The sequence below is a fragment of the Homo sapiens genome, chromosome 2, assembly GCF_000001405.40.
Source record: "Homo sapiens chromosome 2, GRCh38.p14 Primary Assembly".
Classification (NCBI taxonomy): domain Eukaryota; kingdom Metazoa; phylum Chordata; class Mammalia; order Primates; family Hominidae; genus Homo; species Homo sapiens.
In genome coordinates, this window is record NC_000002.12 from 170,328,192 (window position 1) to 170,352,769 (window position 24,578).

General features: G+C 40.8%; 1 protein-coding gene and 2 long non-coding RNA genes across 13 annotated transcripts in view, besides 1 other annotated feature; 1 reads left to right on the forward strand and 2 right to left on the reverse strand.

Moving 5' to 3' along the window:
* The window catches only part of MYO3B (myosin IIIB), a 477,021-nt gene that overhangs the window by 150,045 nt on the left and 302,398 nt on the right, over positions 1–24,578 (forward strand). For 8 of the 11 annotated variants that reach the window (NR_045682.2, NR_045683.2, NR_045684.2 and 5 more), the window contains exon 8: positions 7,194–7,259. Coding sequence is in view for 6 of the 11 variants with exons in the window: in NM_138995.5 (NP_620482.3) it covers positions 7,194–7,259 (66 nt within the window). In the remaining 5 variants the exon portion in view is untranslated. Of the gene's footprint in view, positions 1–7,193; positions 7,260–22,945; positions 23,088–24,020; positions 24,279–24,578 lie in introns of those variants that run through there. The other 3 variants (XM_011510657.4, XM_011510656.4, XM_024452713.2) reach the window with 3 other exon arrangements.
* LOC124906090 (uncharacterized) lies at positions 5,737–12,057 on the reverse strand. Its single transcript, XR_007087292.1, has 4 exons — positions 11,976–12,057; positions 9,658–9,722; positions 6,555–6,688; positions 5,737–5,940 (listed from the first exon to the last, which is right to left on the reverse strand). It is a non-coding gene; the product is annotated as an uncharacterized LOC124906090 (long non-coding RNA).
* Positions 12,096–12,660: an enhancer, noted in NCBI's record as "OCT4-NANOG hESC enhancer chr2:171196797-171197361 (GRCh37/hg19 assembly coordinates)". NCBI's record gives its function as "activates a minimal SCP1, AML or CMV promoter by ChIP-STARR-seq in primed H9 embryonic stem cells {active_cell/tissue: H9 hESC(primed)}" and the evidence as "EXISTENCE:reporter gene assay evidence [ECO:0000049][PMID:30033119]".
* On the reverse strand, positions 12,326–22,752 carry MYO3B-AS1 (MYO3B antisense RNA 1). The gene is made up of 4 exons (NR_110576.1): positions 22,688–22,752; positions 16,608–16,742; positions 15,268–15,465; positions 12,326–13,238 (listed from the first exon to the last, which is right to left on the reverse strand). It is a non-coding gene; the product is annotated as an MYO3B antisense RNA 1 (long non-coding RNA).

A 24,578-nucleotide genomic window follows, 5' to 3' on the forward strand; every position in this document is an offset into this window, starting at 1 on the left:
ACACTGGCCACATATGCATATTTTGAATATATCTTCGTCTGTGTCACGTATGCTGAGGTTATTACCCAGGGATACCCACCACTGGAACGAGGTAGCAGATTCTTGCAAGTGGAACCCAGCAATAAGGTTCAGTGTTTGTAGCTGCTGGAATCGAACCACTCAAGGTCACTATTTACAGTGTGTTCTATGGAGTTTTGGCCCACAGAGCATTATTCATAATCCTGTGGGACCATTTGCTGATTGCTTCCTCCTTGGCTGTAGCTCTGTTGCCCCCACTGCTCTGAAATTGCTCACTGAGCCACCCCCAGAAGATGCGGCAGTATATTCTCTCTTTGCATTCAAGTTTCTTGGAAGGATACTAAGTGTTCATTTGTCAGTGCTTTTGCCACCTAAGAGATATTTTAAAAGTTTGAAATCCCATATGACATGTGGCATATGTAAGCCATTTCAGCCTTCTTTCTAATAGTAACAAAAACAGAAACAACCTAAATGTTCACCAATACATGAACGGCTAAATAACCTATAGTTACCCACTCTGTGGAATGCCATTTAGGTATGAAAGTGATATGGATGAACTTTAAGCTGTATTACTGAATGGAAAAAAATAAGTACCAGGACATTTTTGTGGTGTATAATCCCATTTCTATTGGGATTATACTCTCAACTATATTATAAAAATTATAAAAATTAAGGCCGGGTGCGGTGGCTCATGCCTGTAATCCCAGCACTTTGGGAGGCCAAGGCAGATCACCTGAGGTTAGGATTTCAAGACCAGCCTGGCCCACATGGTGAAACACTGTCTCTACAAAATTTAGCCGGGCATGATGGCAGGTGTCTGTAATCCCAGCTACTTGGGAAGCTGAGACAGGAGAATCACTTGAACCTGAGAGGCAGAGGTTGCAGTGAGCCAAGATCGCTCCATTGCACTCCATCCTGGGCGACTGAGTGAGACTCTGTCTCCAAAAAAAAAAATACTACTACTACTAATAATATATTGTCCAATTTATATTGTGACATTTACTTACAACACAGAAAAACAGTGTGTGTGTGTGTGTGTGTGTGTGTGTGTATATATATAAAATATTTATAGCAGATGCTACAAATTCATGTAATAAAAGGTCTAAAAGAATATAACCCATACTGATAATGGGGAGGAGACTGTATAATGAGGAGGAATTTTGCTTTTTATTCTCTACATTCCACTATTGGGGATTTTTTTTTTCTCTGTCGCCAGGCTGGAGTGGAGTGATGCCATCTTGGCTCACTGCAATCTCCACCTCACAGGTTCCAGTGATTCTTCTGCCTCAGCTTCCCGAGTAGCTGGGATTACAGGTGCAGGCCACCACACCTGGCTGATTTTTGTATTTTTTTTTTTTTTTTTTAGTATGGATGGGGTTTCACCATGTTGGCCAGGCTGGTCTCGAACTCCTGACCTCAAGTGATCTGCCTGCCTTGGCCTCCCAAAGTGCTGGGATTACAGGGGTGAGCCACCATGCCCAGCCAGGGAATGTTTCTTACACTTAGATGAATCATGTATTACAATTAAATGTAAACTTTTAAAAATAATTAATTTTGAACAGGTAAGATGTGACTTAGGGAGAAAAGCAAATTTAGGAACAGCTGGGGCAAGACAGAGAGACACAGACACAGACACACGACTAACTATTCAACTTTATTAATGGGATTTACCAATTGTAATCAGAATGGCAGCTCTGTTGCTGTAGTTAATACTATCAGAACAGTTAATTACACTCAAATGTCTTGCTTTCTTGCTTTTATGAGTAAGGAAATAGAATGTTTTTTTAACACATTCCTAAGTGTTTAACTGGATGTTAACAATTGTTTCTTAGTTATTATACTTCATTCTTTCTATCTTCCTCTGTTATTCCCCTTCTCCCCTAACACCCTCCTCCCCTAGTTAGCTGATTTATGTCCCATCTGTGAACAGAGGTCCTGCTTTAAAATTCACAACTTTCAGGAAGCCCTTCTTAATTAACTGTGCCTCACTGAGAAATTTTTTACTCAGCATCTCCTTGGTGAGTGTGCTTTAATGTTTGAGGGCTTCATTTTGCACCTTCTTGAGGCATTGCTTGCTAACTGGTTTTCTGTCATTTTTTTTGCATGTATGTTCTCTTAATTCATCTTCCAAAGTAATGGACTCTTCACGAGATAAAATACAGAAGAGTGAGGTATATGGGCATTGGAGACAGAAATACCTGAATTTAAAACCTGGTTCTTCCAATTTTTGCTGAAAGTTTTTTAGAAAATTTCTTCTTTTAAGTTGCATTTTCTTCACTTGTGAAACTGGAATAATTCCTATTTAATAGGATTATTGCAATGTTTGGTTGACCTACATGTGAAGCACTTGGCATGAAGCTTTGTGATAGTAAGCACTCAACATATGATGGTTATTGGTATTCATCTCCTTCTGTCTCTGACCCACCATGTATGTGTGTATAATGGTTGTGACATCAGCTAATGTCTACAATGAGGTTTAAATCATGATTTATTTGCTCATTTTGGTTATATATATTCAGGGACCTGGCGACATTTGGGCTTCAAAAGTAGAGGAATGAGGCTTATATTTTCAAATCCAAATCAAGTCAATACTCCTTTATTCTTCAAACCTGCTTGCTCTGAATAATTTAGTTGGAATTTGCTGATTTCCGAAAGAGCTGTTCCATATTTGTCTAATTTTATGCTACTTTGAAGACCAAGTCATATTTTGTCATATCACCATTTCTTGGCCTACCTGCAACATGTATATGTTTGTGTGAATTCATTCAAAAAATTTACCGAGTATTTCTGTGCTGGGCACTATAGATACACATGAAACATGAGTAGGAGCCTGCCAGGTGGACAAATTAGGGAGAGTATTCTAAACTGGAGGTACATCATGTGCAAAGGCCCTGAGGCATGAAAGAATAGGACCTGTTTTGGAGCTACAAGTACTGTGCAGCACAGTGCTACAGCATCTGGTGAGCAGGTGATTTAAGATGAAATCAAGTAGACAGGTAGGTGGCAGGCAAGACCATTTGTATATATCATGCAAAGGAGTTAACATTTTATCATTCTGGCAGTGTGCATCTGCTGAAGAATTTTGAGGAAGAAAACCATGAGGTCATATTTTTATGTTATAAAGAAATTCCAGCTACCAAGTACAAGAGGGATTAGAGGGGTATAAGGTAGAGGGAAGGAGAAAAACAAGAAGGACATTGGAGTAGTATGGGTATGAGATGATGAGTAACTGGACTAGGATGTGAAAGAGGGGACAGGTTATGAGTAGGGGATTTAGGAAGTAGAACTGAGAAGACTTGATACTTGATTGGTGTATTAGTTTTCTATTACCGTCATAACAAATCACCACAAACTTAGAGGCTGAAAACAACACAAATTTGTTATCTTATGGTTCTTTAAGTTAGAGTCTGCCATGGGTCTCAGTGGGCTAAAATCAAGGTGTCAGTAGGGCTGTACTCCTTTCTTAAGGCTGAGGGGAAATTTATTTTCTGGGTCATTCAGGTTATTAGCAGAATTCATTTCCTTGCATCTGTAGAATTGAGGATCTCATTTCTTTGCTAGATATCGGCTGAGGCCCGTTTCCATCTTCCAGATGCTGCCTGCATTCCTTGGCTCATGGCCACTTCCTCCATTTTCAAAGGCAGCAATGACGGGTTAAGTCCCTTTCATACGTTGAATCTCTCCTGCCTCTTCTTTTTTCTTTCTGCCTCCCTCTTCCACTTTAAAAGACTCATGTGATTAAGTTGGGTCCATCCAGGTAATCCAAGACAACCTCCCCGTCTCTAGGACCTTTACCTTAATTACATAAATAAAGTCCCTTTGCCATATGAAGTAGCATATTAATAGGTTCTGAGGATTAGAATGTGGACATCTTTGAGGGAGCCATTATTCTGCCTGCTTTAATTGGATATGGGGTTAAGGGAGAATGTAGAATCCAGGTTTCTGACTTCAACAACCGGGTGGGATGCAGCCTTAAGAAAGGAAGATGTTTGGTTTTGAACATGTTGACCTTAAGATGTCTCTGGGAAATCAAAATGCAACCATCTAGTAAGTAGTCAGATGCACCAGCTAAAAGGCAGACAAGAAATCAAGGCATGTTAGGAAGCTGTCAACATACAGTAAGCCCTCAGTGAATGCATGGAATGGGAAGAGAATAGGGAGAAAAACAGGATTCTGGGATCAATAATGTTTTAGCTGCAACAGAGAGAGGAGCACTCACAAATGAAACAAAAGAATAACCTACATGGTTTCCCTTCACTGGTGTTCTTTCTGGGTTGTGAGAGAATTAGAATTTATATTGCCAGTCCAAACAAAGTATTGCGAAGTCTTCAAATTCATTGGGTTTTCATTATATCAGATAATAATCTTTCACAAGATCTTGCTTTACTGAACCAAAGTAGGATGAACTCCAGGAAAGGCAGGACATTTACAGGATCAAATGAGGTTCTCTTAACCAACTTGCTATGATGCTGGGCTTCAAAGAAGATGTTTCCTTGTGTGGTGTTTATGTGAAGCCATAGAGGGTTGGTGGTGACCTGGGTGAGTGGTGGTTTGCTGCCATTCTCCTCAGGCCAACAACTAAACAATACCCCTTTGCATATTTCCTGCTGAGAAAGAGACTGAAAACAGGAGGGTACATTGTTCTCTATACTAAAGTGGATATTCACCATCCATTTCATATTGGACCCTTGCCAGGTCACTCTCTACTTATAGAAGAGAGATGCCCTTTCCCTGCTGGGCTGGCCAGTGTTGAGCCTACTAGTGTCATTTCAGTCAAATCTACTCAGTCTCTCTACAAATGACTTAGTCATGGTGAACTGCTTTGGGGGTGAATGAAGTCTATTAGACAGTAGATTGCTTAAGCAGCTCTTCTCTGTGGGACTGACCTTAGAACAGAATGATCAGGAAACCTGAGAAGATCAAGGAAAGTGCAAATCCTGGATACGGCTGTAGAGATGATCTAGGATAACGGACTCACTGAAAGATATAGCACCAAAGCTGCCCACAGAGGTGAGCTGGCAGGGCATGTAAAACCTCAGATAGCCACAGGCAGTAAGAACTGCTCAGTCAAACTAGGACTGAAGCTGAACTTATGTGATGGTGGTACTAGGGAAAGATGAAGGCATATGTTGTTGAATGGAGTGAATGAGATAAAGAGGCAGCCTCCTCCTTTGTCTCTGATCCAGCAGAAGGGGGAAAAAAATTTAACTGCTATTCTTTCTGGGTAATACACAGATAATTTATAGGTTTTTGAATTATAAGATATGAAGGGTAACTAAATTCGTATGCAGAACAGATAAATCATCTCCTTCCTCTAATCATTCTTCCTTCTCATCTTATCCTTCCCCCCTGCTCTCTCTTCAGATCCAAAAGATCATATATAGTCTAGCCTCAACAAATTAGGTTTTTTGGACATACTATGCTTTTTTACATCCTTGTGTCTTGGTACGTATTGTTTTCTGAGCCTAAAATGGCTTCACTCTCCTTCTCTATCTTGAAAAATCCAATCTAATTTTCAGAAGCCAGCTCAAGTTTATCTTCTATAAAGTCTTTTGAGACTCCCTAGATTGAGTAAGCAGCATCTTAATTATTCTACCCACATATGGTGCTTGTGCTTCTAGTATATCACTTACCATATTATGTTCTAATCATATGGTAGGAAAATACTCGGAAAGGTTATCTGACTGAGGATTAGACTCAGCTGCATGTACCAGTGGCTTGAAGAAGATGGAAGTTTATTTCTCTCTCTTAGTAAGGAAGATTAGGGGGAAGCAGACTAGAGCTGGTCTGGCAGCTTTGCAATGTCATAATGAATCCAGTTTTCTATCTGTTTGCTTTGTCGTATTCAGCTCATAGTTTTCACTTTCAAGTTCATCTGATGTCCACAATGGCTGCTCAAGCTCTAGCCATCATACCCATGCTCTAAAAAGAAAGAAGGGGGAAGGAGAAGAATGGCATGTCTCCCCTCTTTTAAGGAGACTTTCTGGAAATACCATATAATACTTCTATTTATATATCATTGACTAGAACTTGATCACAGAACCACATCTAGCCGTAAGGAACTCAAGAAATTGTAATCTTTATTACGGCAGCAGTATGCTGAAATAAAAATTGTACTATAAGAAATGAGAAGATAATGGATATCGAGGGGCAAATTGCGATCACATTATCTGATGTATATTTATTTCTGGTAATTCTTGCTGCTTCCCATTCCTCTGCCTATTGAATCTGAGCAATCCATGGCTTTAGGAAGCAGTTAGAATCAAGGTAAAATCAAGGATCACATATGATGGCTTTAAAATTTACAGCCATAATTCATGTGTGCAGAACTGTCACTTTCTTCATTTTCTGAACTTGAGTTGCCGACAAGCCCTTATTTCCATGTATTGCTAGAAAAAAGTCTCATCAATTAAAGGTAATATAGTCACTTCTGTTTTGAAATCAGATCTCTTCGTGGTATTCAAGCAAATCAGGGCTCTTACCCCATCCCCACCCCTCTTTTTTTTTGCCCTCTCACCAAGAGGTTGTCTGCTTACCTAAAGTTCTTTCTGCCATTCTCTCATTCTCTCGGACATCCAATTATTAGGTATGGTATATGTCTGTCTCCTTCTCTACCCAGGAACTTCACGGAGTCTGGGACATTGTTTTGACTGTCTGACTTTCTCCAGTGCTTATTGCAGAAGTTGATACATAGGAGATAGTTAAAAATGTGACTATGAATTTATGAGTACACTTTAAATGCATCACATAATTAATCCAAATGGTACCATAATGATCTGAAAATCCTGTACAATTAAACGTCTATTTCACTAAAGCCCCTAGCACTATGTTTAGAGCTTTCTTATAGCACTAATAATCCTCAGCTCTGTTATAGTAGTTTGTGTGCTTGCCTCACCCCTCATTAGGGTGTCTGCTTCTTGAAGAATGTTCCTGATCTTTGTAACTTTCACAGGTCCTGAGAAGGCCAGGGACATAGTAGGTCTTCAGTCAATGAAAATGAATGACTACAGGAATAAGGGTTGGCACTTTATAATCTACCACTAAAAAATGACTCTCATATGAGAACAAACAGATTTTATTAGAGCTATTTAGAATGATATCAATAAAAACAAGTTGATATTTTGCCTTTAATGAAATTCTTCTTTCTTAAGAAAAAATTGCTGTTATTTTTTCAGAAATCCTCCACCTACTTTACTTCATCCAGAAAAATGGTGTGAAGAATTCAACCACTTTATTTCACAGTGAGTATTTCTTCCACTAAAAATTGCCCATCTAGCAAGGCCTTGAGCAGTGATTGGAGAAATCCAGGCTGTGGAATTTACTTGACACTAGAGGTTGTTATGCCTGTTAGCACGTTATGACTCGGGGTTTGTTCTAGTAAATGATAGAAGATGCCTTTGCAAGATGTGAAAAGTAAGGCGTTCCATTTGACTCTCAGTTATAATAAGTCCTTCTTATCATATGGGTCACATTTATCTGAGAACCTACTTTGTCTTAGGGCAAATATTGACAACTTGTCATGTTTAATGGGGAGAGATGAAACATCTAAAAATCTGATGCCTACATTAGGACCAAAGAGAAGACAGAAGGTAGCAGCCTCCAACAGAGTTTTTGCAGTGTGAAAGTTGGGCTTCCTCTAGGATCTGTGGCATGGGAACAAGGGTCCAGTTTCCAAGATGATAGAGGGACAAAGTAGAATCTCAGGCTTGGGGTACCAAGGTAAGGTATCCCAGCCAAGGCTCAAGGTATGAGGAACAAAATGAAGGCCAAGATGATGGTGTGACATACCTGGTAGGAGCTATGTCACTAGGCAAGTATTGCTGGGACTCAGACAGGAGCAGAATCAACAGTGAAACCAATAGTGGCTCAGTGCTGGGGTCATGGGCTTTTGGACCACACTGGTCCTAAGTCTGAGAAAGATACTCAGACTACTGGAGGAGGTTACAGGGCCCCAAGCTAGGGGCCTGGTGAATTGAGGGGACAGGAATCTAGACCAGGCATTACCAACCATACCAAGGCAGAGGAGCTTGGAAGAAGTCCTGTAGGATCTAGTATATGAAACAAGGTGTTCAGAGGTCGTGGGAGGAGAAAAGAAGTGACCAAATTAGCTGATAAATAAGAAGTGGGGAAGGGTCAACACAAATTTTTCTAATTTATGCCTCTGTGCAAACTTAGCTTTCACAAAGAAGCCAGGCAATAAAGCAAAGTGGGTCTTTTGATCATCTTCCTTAATAAATCACAATACAGATCAACAATCTCTTATCCGTATTTCCAAAATCCAAAGAGCTCCGAAAGATAAAAGTTCTTTTGTAGTTGAGTCATTTAGCAGCAAAACCTAACCTTATGTGAACTGATTTGATGGTAACATATGACCTTAACTGTGAGGCTATTTATAGTTGTTATTCATCTTACTTGATGTGAATATTCATGTGTTTGGCAGCAGATATATTTGTTTGATTATAGTGTGCTGCCCCATATCCTGCTGGGGCTGTTACATAATATACAGTAAATGTACCAGTTTACCTTTGTAAAATTTGATAAAATTCTGAATTCCAAAATACATTTGGCCCCAGGGGGTTTGTGTAAACAGCTATGAACCTATATTTCAGTTTCATTTTCATTTCAAATGTAGTATAGTTCAGGGTCCCTGAATTTGTTTGCTTTTCCTATCCCTCCTGGACTTTTGCCATGTTCCTCAGGAAAGGGGAGTGGAAAAGAACTCAAAGACCCCTGCTAAGAAAGACTGTGTTGGAACATGACCATGAAGTTGAAGGTCAGGGGTGGAGGGTATCTCGTTGCCCCTTTAGCCCCACGTTGACATTTTTGTCCTGGCTGCAGAATGCACTAGGAGCAGCCACCAGTCAAAGGTGATGGTGTCAGGCCATGTTGAGAGGAAAAACAGATACTTGTAGGAGGGATGATGCTCACATAAGAGCAGTGGAAGAGCCACTTCCAGAGGTTTGGGACCCAAAAGAGTAGGTGGAGGGAACTAAAGGGCTGAAGACATGCTGGTAGCTTGGGACCACATTTCAGACCACCCCAAGGAAACAAATCTGGGAGCTAAGGTTCCAATGATTTTGCTGGTAAAGGCTGAATCCAAAGATTTTTCCTTTTCATTTCATTGCCACACACAGATACCCTTGATTGACCTTGTCTAAGCTGTTGTCCTAGAAAAATCCATTACATATTCACTAATATGCCTTCCCATACCAAACTCTCCTGATGCCTCTAAAAATGTGATTTGACTCACAAAACTTTGGCTTCTGTATACTTTTTCAAGAGTATGTTCGTAATCATAAACTAAGCTCGGTGTTCCTTGGATGGATTTGAGAATAAAGGTATATAATTGATGACAGAGATTGGACTGTACACAACGCAGTTGACTCTTAAACAATGCAGCGGTTGGGGTGCTGACTACCCCCCACCTTATGAAGTCAAAAATTGCCTATAACTTTTGACTCTCCAAAACCTTAACTACTGATAGCTTACTGTTGACTGGAAGCCTTGCTGATAACATAAACTGTTGATTAATACATATTTTATGTGTTATATGTATTATATACTGTATTCTTACAATAAAGTAAGCTAGAGAAAAGAAAATGTTATTAGGAAAGTCATAAGGAAGAGAAACGTGCTTACTGTTCATTACTTGGAAGTGGATCATAATAAAGGTCTTCATCCTCATCTTTTTCACGTTGAATAGGCTGAGGGGGAGGAAGAAGAGGAGGGGTTGGTTCCGCTGTCTCAGGGTTAGCAGAGGTGGAAGAAAATCCATGTATAAGTGCATCCATGCAGTTAAAATCCATGTTGTTCAAGGGTCAACTATGCAGAAATTCCTCCCTAAGATAGTTCCTTATGGCAAATCCTATTATATGCCAATTCAAATCTGCTATGTTTTTCCCAATTCTGAGAATTTCAGATGCACTCATTCTGAGTTGCAAAAGGTCTTGAATACTAGAATGGAGGGCTAAACACAGAAAACAATGCCTTTGAGTATGCATACTGTCAGGAGCAAAGCAAAAAGCATCCTGTTGTAATTGCAAGGGAGGGAGAGTCTGGAAAGTTTATAATGAGTCAGGAAGGCAATTAGAAATTAAGTGATTATGTGGTTTAGTACTAGTTTAAGATGGAAATATGTCATCAGTCTTCTTTTTTGTTTAATGAGTTGTCTTTACGGTTTTTTATTAGTGAAAAATTTTATATAATAGGTGTTTATAGATTCCTTCTTGACCTCAGCCCTCCAATCCTGTTTTCCCATAACATCTTAGGTGCTTCAACCATAAATTCTTCTGCAATATTTTTGGGAATATTTCTCAAAATTGGGAACTGATTATTATATTATATATCTTTAAATAGAAGCCTGCCCACCATTCCCAAATAATATACTTTCTTTTTTTTGTTTGTTTGTTTTGAGACAGAGTCTCACTGTGTTGCCCAGGCTGGAGTACAGTGGCATGATCTTGGCTCACTGCAACCTTGGCCTCCCGGGATCAAATGATTCTTGTGCCTCAGCCTCCCAAGTAGCTGGAATTACAGGTGTGTGCCACCAGGACCAGCTAGTTTTTACATTTTTAGCAGAGATGGGGTTTCACCATGTTGGCCAGGTTAGTCTCGAACTCCTGACCTCAAGTGATCTGCCCACCTCAGCCTCCCAAAGTGCTGGGATTTACAGGTGTGAGCCACTGAGCCCAGCCCCAAATAATATCCTTTCATTCTGTAGAGGAGACTGCTGATACTAGGCTGCCATTACTCAGCCTATCAAATGCAGTTTGACCAAATGCTGTGCATTATATTTATTCAAATCTCTAATTCAGTATAAACAATGATATTCACTGGGTTTGAAATGTCTATTTAAAGAGAGAGCCTTAGTTTGTTTTTATACTTATCTTGCTCATATTAGGAGTCAAGGGAAAGAAAGATGGAGGATTAAGACCTTCAGATTATAAGCTTTTCATTATTGGAGGGACTGGGCTGGAGAAGATGATTATCTGGTAATTTTAGGAAAAGTTTCTTTTAACCTGAATTATACAGATAATTGCTTCAGTTCCCTTTGTAAACCAAGACATAGTAAATCTAACTGTTTCTCTTTAAAGAATAAATAGGACAAAAAGTTCCTTAACGGCTTTAAGACCTTTAATACTTTGTCCTCATGTGACTACTGAGCCGTAACAGAGTCGATTCAATACTCTAGGTCTTTTTTAGTCCATGCTGGTCACTACCCACCAAAAGATTTCGTATTGACTGCTGCAGGGATCTGAACAAGTTGGTCTGGCTGCAGCCTAGTGATTATAGCTATGTAGACAGGGCACAGTGGGGTGTGTGTGTGCACGTGCATACGCGTGTAGGAGGGCCAGGAAGGCAGGAAATCAGGAGCACTGGGGATGTGGCTTAGTGTGTTTCAGATTTATTTCCAGCCTCCTTAATTTAGAGATAGTAAGAGAGATTTTTTAAAACATCTAAAAGTCTGAAATACTATTAGTAAACCTGTTTGGGGGTTTTAAAAGAAGCATCAGCCTGTTTGGTTCTGAAGCTTTGGTTGTTAGTGATAATTGATTCATTTATATTCATTAGTTATGCGTTTGTCAAAGCATGATTCCTGACAGCTTAGTTATGATAAATTAAATGCAATGCTCACATAAATTCTGCACTGCTTTTCATCCATATGCTAGGACCCTGCTTGATGTGTTTTGTCACCTCTATAATGTGTGGTTGGCTTTGTAGAGATTTCATTATCAGCCCTTTCCCCTACGACTAAAGCTATTTGCATAACAAGTTTATCTGGTTCAAGTACCAGCCAGACTTCTGCTTTGTCAGGAGGCTCCATTCAGAAGTAGCCTTTTGATAAGATAAAAATAATTTTCATTTTGTCAACTTCACCTTGGTCCTAATGGATGTCACTTTTCTTTTTAAGTTCAAGCTAATTTCAGGTCTTTGGAATCAACTACAAAAATACTTACCAAGTCATTGGTCACAAGGTATTTGTGAGCTATGCTTTCTCATTTTGCCTCTATAACTTTAGTGGTTTTTTAGGAATTAAATTTAGGACCTCATCATCAGTGGTCCTTGAGCCGATTATTGAGACAATCAAGATGGATTTCTCTTGGTCAAGGGCAATTCCACCAATAGCATCACGGCTGCTCAGCTTTGGATTTAATGATGACTTGAACTACATGGTCACCTGCACATGAACTGTTCTTTCTTGAGGTGGCTGGCTTGGGTAGTATAGGGGAGAAAAAGTAATATCTTTTCATCACCTACTGTGAGGTTAATGGCTGACATTCCTATAACAAAAGACAGATTAACAAAAGAAAAGTGGAACAAATTTATTTAATGTAAGTTTTATGTGACACAGGAGCCTTCACTCAAAAACCGAGTGAAAACTACTTTTGTGGTTAGGTTTAATGAATGATGGACAGTTGTATAGAAGTATGATTGAACAAAAAAGGCATATGATCTAATGGTAATAAACTGGGGAAAACTTAGCAAGTCCTCAGATTCTTCTCAGCCTCTCTGTGTAACATTTCTTCCTTCTGATTATATGGCAGGTCACCTGTCACATGAGGATCTTCAAGAGAGAGAGGGTGGGAGAAGGTCAGAGGGACCTTTCTGTTTTTGTGGTTTTCTTAATTGCCTTCTGCTTAAAATACTCAGTATGCTGAGGGGCCATATTTTGGGGTAGCATTTCCTGAACTGCATCAGCATCTAGCATACTGGTGTGTCTATTTCTCATTTCTCGGAGTGAGCATTGTGGCTGAGCCCTGCCATTTAGTCATCAAATGTTGAAGCAGTCTTTCCTAGCCCTCTAAATGACATTCAAATGGGTATAAGCAGTTGCCCTGAATGTTAACAAGATAAGATCATTCTGAGCCCTAAAACTACTAAGACTAATGGTCATTTGCATATGTTTATTCTTTAAAAATTGAAACTCAGATCTGGAACATTTGCGTTCACTGTAGGCCTGAATGCTGATAAAGCTAACCATTTTGGGGTGGTTGTTTGCTTGACATTGATTGTATTTCCCTGAAGGCAACAATTCTCAGCTCTTAGCCTTTCTCCATTTTGTGTTTCAAGGCTGCTTAATTCCACATGGCTTTATAGTGTCAATGAACAACACACTTGCAGTGATAAATATTGTAACTCAGTGATGAAGTTTCACAGATATTCTTGGCTATTTACGTCTTGTCGGATTCTCAGGAGGCCATGCAAAGGGTTAATACTTCCTAGAGTAGAAGGATACAATAACCTTTATTTACATTACTTCACAAATTCATAATTTTAATTAAAATGAGCAGTGGTATCTCTAGTGACAGACTCTCTCCATTTTAGATTTATTTAGGCAGTGATTAGCTATTATGATTTCTTGAATTAATTAGCATCTCTTGAGCTACAGGGAATTAGTGAATTAATAAAAACTCATGGAGAAGCTCAAAATTAACACAAAAAATAAGTTAACCCCCCCCAAATTATCCACTCCTCACTTAACATACATTGATCAATATACTTATAAATGCAACTCAAATCCTTTCTTATTTTGAAATATTGGGATTTTGTTTTCATGAGAAGAACAAATAAAGCTATGTGTGAACTTCAAGGTTATATCTCCCTGAAGAGCGTCTAATTTAGATTACCTAATAGATCATCTAAACACACCAAGGGCCTGATTTGATCTCACTTATACCCTACTTATAAAGTCACCTGATAAAATCTGATTTTCTCATAGTGTAAACCAGGAAGCAGCTGAGTGTGACTTGAAGTTTAAAACATGGTACCCACATATACCTGGAATATACTAGGAATATATCCTGTCTTCTCAGGAACCATGGTAATGTGAGAGAAATGAAGGTTTAGCGTCATATGAAATAAGAAAAAGGCATAGTAACGTGGGTAATCTAGACTGTTGTCAGCATATCCTGTTTATTTCCTGACAGATGCTGGGTTTAAATCTTGTGAGAAACCAGATCTGTGGCATATGTCATAGATTTTATGTTAGTGCTTGTGGCGCATTATATTAGCTGACTTTTGTAGCTGCTGTGGATTCATTAAGTTATGTCTGTACCATTTTCTCCATACTGGCTTTTCTTTCTTCTTTTAAAAAAAATTACACTTGATTTTCATACTGTGAATCAAAAAGACTCTGTAATTGAAATAATAGAAAGTGAGGGTGAGTGCTGCATTGTCTGTGTGTGCTTGTGCCTGGAGGTGGTGGCTCACACATTCGCCTCTCCCCAGAGTGCCGCCTGGATCATCACCAGGAAGAGGCAGCTGTGGAAGAGCTGTGCTATAGTGTGTGTATCCAGCTGTGTCACTTACTGGCTGTGTAATCTTGGAAAGATATTTAACCTGTCTGACCGCCAGTCCTCAGTTGTCAAATTGGGGCTAGAGTAGTATCGCTGTGAGGATTAAATTACATAATGTATATGTAGCACTTGACAAATAATAATAATAATTAACATATATAACTCTTATGCTAGGCACTGTTCTCTACATGTTGTATAATTTACTTAATCCTCATGATTCTATAAAGTAGTTCTAATTTTATAGAAATTGAGGTAAAAAGAGGCCAAGAGTCCCAAGACCACAGCTAGTACATGGTGGAGCTGGGATTTGAACCCCAGAAAACTTGTTCCAGAGTTCACGCTCAACCAGCAGTAGAGGTTATTTTTATTACCCTTTGCATTTGGTCTGTGCTGCTATTCTGAAACTGTGTTTTGAAAGTGGCAATGACTTTCTCTTCTTTGACACCAATGTGCTGTTTCAATCTGTTGTCCACTGTCTCTTTATTTAGACTTCAGCTCACTTACTTCCACAGTTCGGGCCTCTAACACACACACACACACACACACACACACACACACACACACACACACACCCCTCTCCACCCCTTCTCAATGGCAACAGCTCCCTCCACCTGAAAGAATTGGCTGCAACAGGAGTCAAGGCAGAGTCAAGCCAGATGTGGTAGGCTTACGACTGTAATCCTAGCACTTTGAGGGGCTGAGGTGGGAGGATCACTTGAGACCAGGAGTTTGAGCCTGGGCAACAAAGTGAGCCTGTCTCTACAAAAAATTTAAAAATTAGCCAGGCATGGTGGTGTGTGCCTATATAGTCCCAGCTACCAAGGAGGCTGAAGCAGGAGGATCCCCTGAGCACAGGAGTTTGAGGTTATAGTGAGCTAATTGTGCCATTGCACTCTAGCCTGAATGATGAAGAGAGACCTTGTTAAAAAAAAAAAAATCGACTCAGGCTCACCTTCACTTCTTTGCTCTGCAAACAAACCTTCCCCACCTGGCCCAGGTAACACCTTCTCCAAGTTGAGCATCTCTCTCTGCTGTCAGCCAGCCACAGGCTTCTCCATGGGGAAGGAACAGTGGGAAGGAAAATGGGTGTCTGGACACTGAGAGGCAGAATCCACAGTGCTTGGCACCTAACTATGGGAGGAGACAGGTACTACAGAGAGAGAAGAGTTAAACATGACTCCAGTGTTTTCAGCATGGAAACAGGGCTTTTTGGAAAATATATATTGGAGAGATTAAGAGCGTAGGGTCTAAAGTCAAATTGTATTCTAGCACTGCTAATTAGATTTTTGGCCTTGAACAAGTCACTTAACTTTTCTGAGCCTCAATTTCCTCATCTGCAAAATGAGAATAACAATGCTTCTATAATAATAACTAGTTGGGATTAAGATCAAGTCTGTATGTAATAGAAAACCCCAAAAACAGTGGCTTTAAAGAGTTAGGCTTTTATTTTTCTCTCACTTGAAATCAGCTGGGAGTTAAGCCACATATGTACTGCTGGTGTGGCAGGGCCACATGGCAGCCACCTGGGCTCCTGCCCTCAGGCTGCCCCACTAAATACGATTTCCATTCCGTGGAACCTCATGGGCCAAGATGACTGCTGGAGCTCTGACATTCACATACTTATTTTAGTTAGAGAGAAAGAGAAAAAAATGCAAGTCTCCTTACTTTAAGACTCTCTGGGCCAGGCACGGTGGCTCATGCCTGTAATCCTAGCACTTTTGGAGGCCGAGGCGGGTGGATCACAAGGTCCAGGGTTCAAGACCAGCCTGGCCAACATGGTGAAACCCCGTCTCTACTAAGAATACAAAAATTAGCCTGGTGTGGTGGTGGGTACCTGTAATCCCAGCTACTTGGGAGGGTGAGGCAGGAGAATTGCTTGAATCCAGGAGGCAGGGGTTGCAGTGAGCCGAGATCACATCACTGCACTCCAGCCTGGGTGGCAGAGAAAGACCCCGTCTCGGTTGGGGGGGTGGGGGGCGGGGCGGGGCGGGAAGGCTTTCTGGCAGTTTCACACAACGTATCATTAGCTACAACTTTATCACATGGCCACACCTAGCTGCAAAGGAAGCTAAGAAATACAGTCCTCTGACTGGGCAGCAGTGGACTACTGGGGCTCTATCCCTAAGTAAAGGGGAGAGTGTCTGGACAGGAAGCAGTCTGCATCATGCTACTTTATAGTGTGACTGAGAGAATTAAGTGAGATACAGAATGAAAGCTCAGCAAATACTAGTGATAAGAATAGTATTATCAAATAAGTAGTATCAAATGACAGTGATGAATACTATAACTCACAATAATGATGCCATCCAAAGAAATGTAAGAGTCAGGAAGGAGAAACTGTAGGGCCCCGGGGGGATGAATCACAACAGAGAGGATCTTGAGGAGTAGCTGTCAGGATCCCTCTGAACCCCAGGGCTGATCTGTGGCCTGTGGGATGAGATGAGGAAAGTAAGGACAAGGTGGGAGCAGTAGTGTGGCCATGTTGACACCTTTCCGGGTCTTTGCCTAAGAGCTGTGGTGACTTCCTGGTTCAGTGCAAAGCTCCCAGCTTCTTGCCTGCTCTTCCAGTCTCTGCTGCTTCCACTGTGGCGCTTCCACAGGCTCTGGTGCAGAAGGAAATCTGGCTCTGGGTCAGTTAGAATTTTAATTAAAAATGGAAATGCAGGCTCATGTCACCAGTACTACATTCTTTCAGCCCAGTGATGATTTCTGGCAGGGATAAAAATAACAGACATAGCCCTTTGGCACTAATGAAGAAAGGGGTATATGTGTGGGTGTGTTTTAATGAATTAAAAATTTATAACAGAAAATTTAGATATAATAAGTCATCATAGATTCTGTTGGTCTTATGTGCTTTTGGGCATATGTGCGGCTTCCACTGCCTTCTTAGTATTTTAATTCGGAACTTTCTAGGGTCATCAAATGCATAATATTTAGCTGTCATACCAGGTTAGTGAATGGAGGGGGAAATTTCATAATTTATTTTTAGTATGAAGGGCTATTTAATGATTTTTTGAAATAATAGTTTTATTTAAAAGCCCACATTTTAGTGAATAATGAGAATTTTTGCCTTTAAAAGAGGCCCAAAGCTTGAACCTTCAGGCTCAAGCAGTGCTTCACACACACATACAGAAACCCTGGCTTCAATCCCCCATGTCATGGGTCGAATTGTGTCCCCTCAAAATTCATATGTTGATGTTCTCATCCTCAATATCTCAAATGGGGCCATTACAGATGTAATTAGTTAAGATGAGGTCATACTGGAGTAGGATGGGCCCCAATCTAGTATGACTGGTGTATTTTAAAATGGGGCAATGTGTACACAGACAAACAGATAAGATCATGTGAAGACTGGAGTTATGCTGTCTTAGGCCAAGAACTACCAGCAGCTAGGAGAGGGACCTGGAACAGATCCTTCCCTAGTACTTCCAGAGGGAGAATAGCCCTGCCGACATCTTGATCTTGGAAGTCTGTCCCTCAGACTGGAGACAACAAATGTCTGTTGTTTAAGTCACTTGGTTTGTGATACTTTATTATAGCAGCCCTAGGAAATTAATACACTCCATGACTGGGTAGTTACAGGACCTTAAGGCATTTGATATTCCAAGACTTTGTTTCCTAAGCTGTGGGATAGTAATATTCACCCATCTACCAGTGAGGATCAAGTGTACCTGTGAATATTGTAGAGCAAGCTTGTCCAATCCTCAGCCCATGGTTCTCATGCCACCCAGGACAGCTTTGAATGTGGTCCAACACAAATTTGTAAACTTTCTTAAAACACTATGAGATTTTGTTTTGTGATTTTTTTTTAAAGCTCATCAGCTATTGTTAGTGTATTTTATGTGTGGTCGAAGACAATTCTTCCAGTTGGTCCAGGGAAGGCAGAAGATTGGACACCCCTATTGTAAAGCATCACTACAATGTCAAGTATTAATATGACACCATAAAACAATCACTACAATGTCAAGTATTAATATGACACCATAAAACAATCACTACAATGTCAAGTATTAATATGAAACCATAAAACCATACTGTATTTTCTTCCCTCCCTACCTTCCTTTTTCTCTCTTTCATTTTATTTTTTGTTTAAATATGTGTCATAAGGGTTTATGTTAAATTCCTCCTCCTCAACCAACTGCACAGTAGTAAAAGTGGGGAATTTCTGTAATCATCAATGATTTGCTGGCCTTTATAGAGGACTTCAGGAACTAAATATATACTGTACATTAAGATTTCTTGGTAACAAGTATCTCTCCATGAGGAACAAATTATAGAATGAGATGGCCAATTAGTGTCATCTTGCATCCCAGCACTGATCAACTGATCACCTCCCTGCAATGCTGTGTTAAGGAGGATTCTGACACTGCATCTAGGATAGAGCATCATGATCGCTTAGTGACATTTACTATGGGTCTGAACTGGATCAATTGTAGCTCATACTTTTGTGGACCTGCAGTTTACATTTCTTTTTAATTATGACCAAGTTCTTTGTTATGTGAAAATCTTTATTCATGGCAAAATTCATTTAGCCAATGAAAGCAAATTGGCATATGTTCAACTAAATCAGCTGTAGCCTAAAAATACCTGAGAGCTAAAATAAAAGTAGTAGAATAAATTTGGAGTTGTCTGTGTGAGGAGTACAGATAATAATATTAACAGTAAGATTTATTTAAAGCTTACTGTCAGATGTTGTGCATCTGACATGGTGAAGTGTACTTTACTTGCATAATTTCAGTGAATCCTCACTGCTGCCATATGAAGTAGGTCACTACTCAGATGGGAAGCTGAGTTTCTTATAAATCAAGTGATGGGGGGCCAGGTGTGGATCACATCTGTAATCCCAGCACTTTGGTAGGCTGAGGCAGACAGATCACTTGAGGTCAGGAGTTCAAGACCAGCCTGGCCAACACAGTGAAACCCCATCTCTGCTGAAAATACAAAACTTAGCCAGGTGTGGTGGCATGTGCCTGCAATTCTAGCTACTTGGGAGGCTGAGGCATGAGAATCGCTTGAACCCGGGAGGTTGAGGTTCCAGTGAGCCAAGATCCACCACTGCATTCCTGCCTGGGTGATGGAGTGAGACTGTCTCGAAAAAAAATAAAAAGAAAATAAATCAAGTGATGGACTTTAGGCCTCACAGCTGGCAGAGCTATCATTTAACACCAGGTCTGTGACATATTTCAATGTCTGCTCTGACGCTCATGATGCTAGAGTGTGCATGCGTGAATATGTGTGTTTGAGGTAAAATTCACATAAAATATTAACCGTCTAAAAGTGAACAATTCAGTGGTATTTAGTACATTCAGTGTGTGCAACCACCACTTTGATCTACTTCCAGAATGTTTTCATCATGCCACAAACAAACCCCACATCTATTAAACAGCTACTCCTCATTTCCTTCTCCCCTCCAGCCCCTGACAAACAGCAATCTGCTAGATTTACCTATTTTGGATATTTCATATAAATGGAATCATACAATAGGTGACTCCTTTTTCTTAGTAAAATATTTTTGGCCAGGTGCAGTGGTTCACACGTAACACTTTGGGAGGCCAAGATGGGTGGATCATTTGAGCCTGAGTTTGAGACCAGCCTGGGCAACATAGCAAGACATTATTTCTGTGAAAAAATTAAAGCAAAATATAATGTTTTTAAAGTTCATCCGTGTATCAGTACCATGTATCAGTATTTCGTTCCTCTTTATGGCTACATAATATTGTGGTGTTGTTGTTGTTGTTGTTGTTGTTTTGAGATGGAGTCTCGCTCTGCCACCCAGGCTGGAGTACAGTGGCACAATCTCGGCTCACTGCAACCTCTGCCTCGCGGGTTCAAGCAATTCTCCTGCCTCAGCCTCCAGAGTAGCTGGGATTACAGGTGTCTGCTACTATGCCTGGCTATTTTTTGTATTTTTAGTAGAGATGAGATTTCATCATGTTGGCCAGGCTGGTCTCGAACTGCTGACCTCAGGTGATCCTCCTACCTCGGCCTCCCAAAGCGCTGGGATTACAGGTGACAGCCACCATGCCCAGCCCATACTGTGTATATTTTGAGGCAGAATATCAACATCCTATGTACCTTTTTCACCTGGATATATGAAGAAAACCCAAGTCTGGCTACTCAGACACCTCCTCCATTTCCCCATGTCATTCTCCACATGGTGACATGGATGACCACACTGCTAAAATATCAGGTGCTCTCCCTCTCCCTGGATATGGAGTGTTTGGACATGGTCTTCTGCCCTCCTGATGCATGAGGCCAAAGCGCCCACAGGCTCTAGATGTAGGAGAGCTGGCTATAGCTTAGTATATGTGCTTTCCCTAATCCACTTCTAATTTGGGGTAGTAGTTTTGTTATCTGGCTTTTTCTGGCTACCCAGAACATTCCATCTTATAGGGGCCAAGTGTTTCTGGGTGATGATTCAGATCTCTGCTCCAACTAGAGCAGCAGCTTTCATAATACTCTCCCTGGATCTCATCACAAATTATCCTGCACAAAACAGTCAGTGTGATCTTTCTGAATCCCTAAACTGATCAAGTCATGCCCTACTCATAATTATTCTGTGTCTTCCCAGTGCTTACAGGGTGCACTAAAACTCTGTAACACACAAGGTCATGAAGGATCTGCCCCTTTCTATGTAATACCATTCTCTCCTCCAAACTCCCTGCACATTCTAGAAAAATTGAACAAGTGATGCTTCCCCTGACTTCCCCAGGAGGACTCAGAGGCCCCTTCCTTCATGCTTTTATGTCAGCGTTGTGCCTTTTACAGAACTTTATAATAATGGGGAGAGAGGGAGCATGTCAAGCCATCCTGGAATTATTTGTTTCTACGTCTGTCTCCCCACTCAAACTGTAAATTCCTTGAGAGCAGAGAATGTATCTTTACTGCTTCATATCCCCAATACCTAGCACAGTTCCTAGAACATGGCAGGAACTCAGTAAATATCCATTCCTTTTGAAGAACCACGAATTCTTTAGAGGAAGTGATACTCTTAAAATTATGCACCTCATGGCCGGGTGTGGTGGCTCATGCCTATAATCTCAGCACTTTGGGAGGCCGAGGTGGGTGGATCACTTGAGGTCAGGAGTTTGAGACCAGCCTGGCCAACATGGTGAAACCCTGTCTTTACTAAAAATGCAAAAATTAGCCGGGCATGGTAGTGGGCACCTGTAATCCCAGCTACTTGGGAGGCTGAGGCAGGAGATCACTGGAATCTGGGAGGTGGATGTTGCAGTGAGCTGAGATTGCACCACTGCACTCCAGCCTGAGCGATGGAATGAGACCCTGTCTCAAAAAAAAAAAAAAAAGAAAGAAAGAAAAAAATTATGCACCTCATATAATGGACCTAGATAGAAGTTGGATGTTAGAACTCATGATCTTTGGACAGTCTCTCCAAACGACAAACATAATGATAAGGAAGAGAATAAGGGGTGGCAAAAGTGGTCAGATACACCTTCCTCTCTCAATATACACACAGTATCCCAGAACACAACTGAACATTTTTTTTTCCTTTGAGATAGTGTCTTGCTCTGTTGCCCAGGCTGGATTGCAGTGGCGCGATCTCGGCTCATTGCAATCTCAACCTCCCAGGGTGAAGCAATCCTCTTCCCTCAGCCTCCCAAGTAGCTGGGATTACAGGCACGTGCACACCCAGCTAATTTTCTGTATGTTTAGTAGAGACTGGGTTTTGCCATGTTGCCCAGGCTGATCTCCAACTTGTGGGCTCAAGTGATCTGCCCGCCTCGACCTCCCAAAAACCGAAATTTTAACTGTAAGAAGAAACATGATAGGATTGTTAAATTGATAGCTACGTGGTTAGCTGTGGATTCTTTTTTGATTGCCTTAAATACATGAAAAGAATGTCAGAATGAATCCTTCATGGCAATCTCAGTGGTTATTCCTCTCCAAAAGCTTCTGCCCATTCCTTTTCATCTCTGCCTTCCCTTATTTCTCACCACCAGCTCCTTTATCACGTGGTTTAGAATTCCACAGAAAGATTGAAGAGAAGCCACTTCTGAACTCTGGATTATAAGAAACATCACCATTTGAAGGCTGCCTTAGGGAACTATGCAGAGATGATGGGTAAAAATCGAGATGTGGAAAAGTTCAAGGCCTGTGAATGCAACTTTACTTCCTCACTGTAAAATAAAATTAGGTTAAAATCAAGGTGTTGGCAGGGGGAAAAAAGATTAGGGGCACGTCTCACAGATGTTAATTTTGGCCACGTACCTTAATGTCTTAATACATTAATATGATACATACATTAATAGCTTAATAGCTTCACACTAATAGATCTTACTAAAGAAAAATGATTTAGGATGGTAGTAAGCAGAAGAAATGATTGGATAAATTTGAATTTGAAGGATTTTTGCCTTTAGATGTTTCCGTGGAAGATATTTTCTGTAAAGGTGATGCCTTAGGTTTATACTTTTCCAAACACAGGATATTGCTAGGCCACATATATAAAGAAAAGGCCAAAAACATATTAAGAAGGAAGGAAGGGAGAAAAGAAAAAAGGGAGGAAGGAAGAAGGAAGGCAGGAAGGAAGGGAAGGCAGGGAGGGAGGAAGGCAGGAAGGAAGGAAGTTAGTTATATTCAGAATGTTCATTGTGATGGATGAGAATGGAATGCTCATGAAGTGCTCAGCTGGGCTGAAGTCACAGGTCCGCAGGTATCAAGAGCAGTGGTGACTCCTGTGAGTAAAAAGACTAACAGGGCTCCAAACAAGATAGGATTCAGAGTTGAGACTCCTACTTGAAGCCAGTAAATGAGGTGGTTCATTTAGGCTGATAAAAAGCGTCTGGGAAAAAGAATGGGGTAGGGGAGAGGTTATGTGATCCTGTGCTCTAACTGTAGCAATTTCTTCCACATATTCTCCATCGTCTGGGGTGATGCTGACCATCACCCAGGACTATGACTTTTAGCCACCTTCTGGCTGAGGATGGTAGAAGGATATATAAGCAGCCAGGCCTGTGGCTGCCACAGTCATAGGCTCTTCCATATGCCCAATAAGACCATGGGACAGCAGCACAAAATGCCATTCTACAACCTGGCTCTGGGCTAGAGACCCAGAGAGCCAAGCAGACATAACCATAACATTACTAGAATAGGAGGGTGGGCAAAGGGGAAGTGAGAGGGAGAGAGAAAACAAAATCCTCTTCCTCCTCACCCTTTCAGTGAGCCTGCCAACTGAAATTTCAGAACACCTGAATAAACCTAAAGCTGAGGAAGACAACCCACCAAAACAACAAATGAAGCATAAATTCGTTTGAAATGAAACTAAATTCATGGAATAGTCTGAAGGATTAATGTAGATAACTACTAACTGTAAGAAGGAAAACAATTTGGGATAAAATACGTAAAAACTAACTCTAATCATACAGTTGGGGCAGGGACAGCATCCAGTGTGTGATTTAGGCATGCACAAGTTGTTTTTCTTTGTTTGGTTTTTTGTTGTTGTTTTTGAGATGGAGTCTCGCTCCGTCGCCCAGGCTAGAGTGCAGTGGCATGATCTCGGCTCACTGCAACCTCCGCCTCCCAGGTTCAAGCGATCCTCTTGCCTCAGCCTCCTGAGTAGCTGGGGTTGCAGGTGCATGCCACAACACCTGGCTGATTTTTGTATTTTTAGTAGAGACGGGGTTTCACCGTGTTGGCCAGACTGGTCTCGAACTCCTGACCTCAGGTGACCCGCCCTCCTTGGTCTCCCAAAATGCTGAGATTACAGGTGTGAGCCACCGTGCCCGGCCTAGGCACGCATAGGTTTTTGTACTCAGAAAGGGGATAGAACTACAGGAAAATTGACAGTTAAGCAAACATGTTAAACTAATTTGTAGTTAAGCAAATATGTTAAAACTATAGAAAAACAATGTCTAGTTTCTAAACCAAAAGAAGAAAGGGTCTACAGAAAATTTAATCAATCTAACAGAAGACAGGAAATGAGGAAAAAAAGCATTGGAGGAAAAGGTTGGTAAAAAGAGATTTCTATCTATATGACCATGCTTTTGAATTATCAGGCAGTCAGTTTTTCCCAAGATTTCCAGTACATAAGCAGTGGTGTACTGGTAAATGTTTAAACTGGCTGGTTGCGGATAGGGGTGGGAGTGGGGCTGATTTTCAGTGTTTACTCGTTTTCATGGTGTAAATATTCCCACCATAGCCAATTTCAAGCTATCAATCTGATATCAACCAGCTCACAGAATTCCTGAAAATGTTAACAGTAATGTCTAGTAAGCTTATGCATGCTGGTTCTAGGATACTATTGTT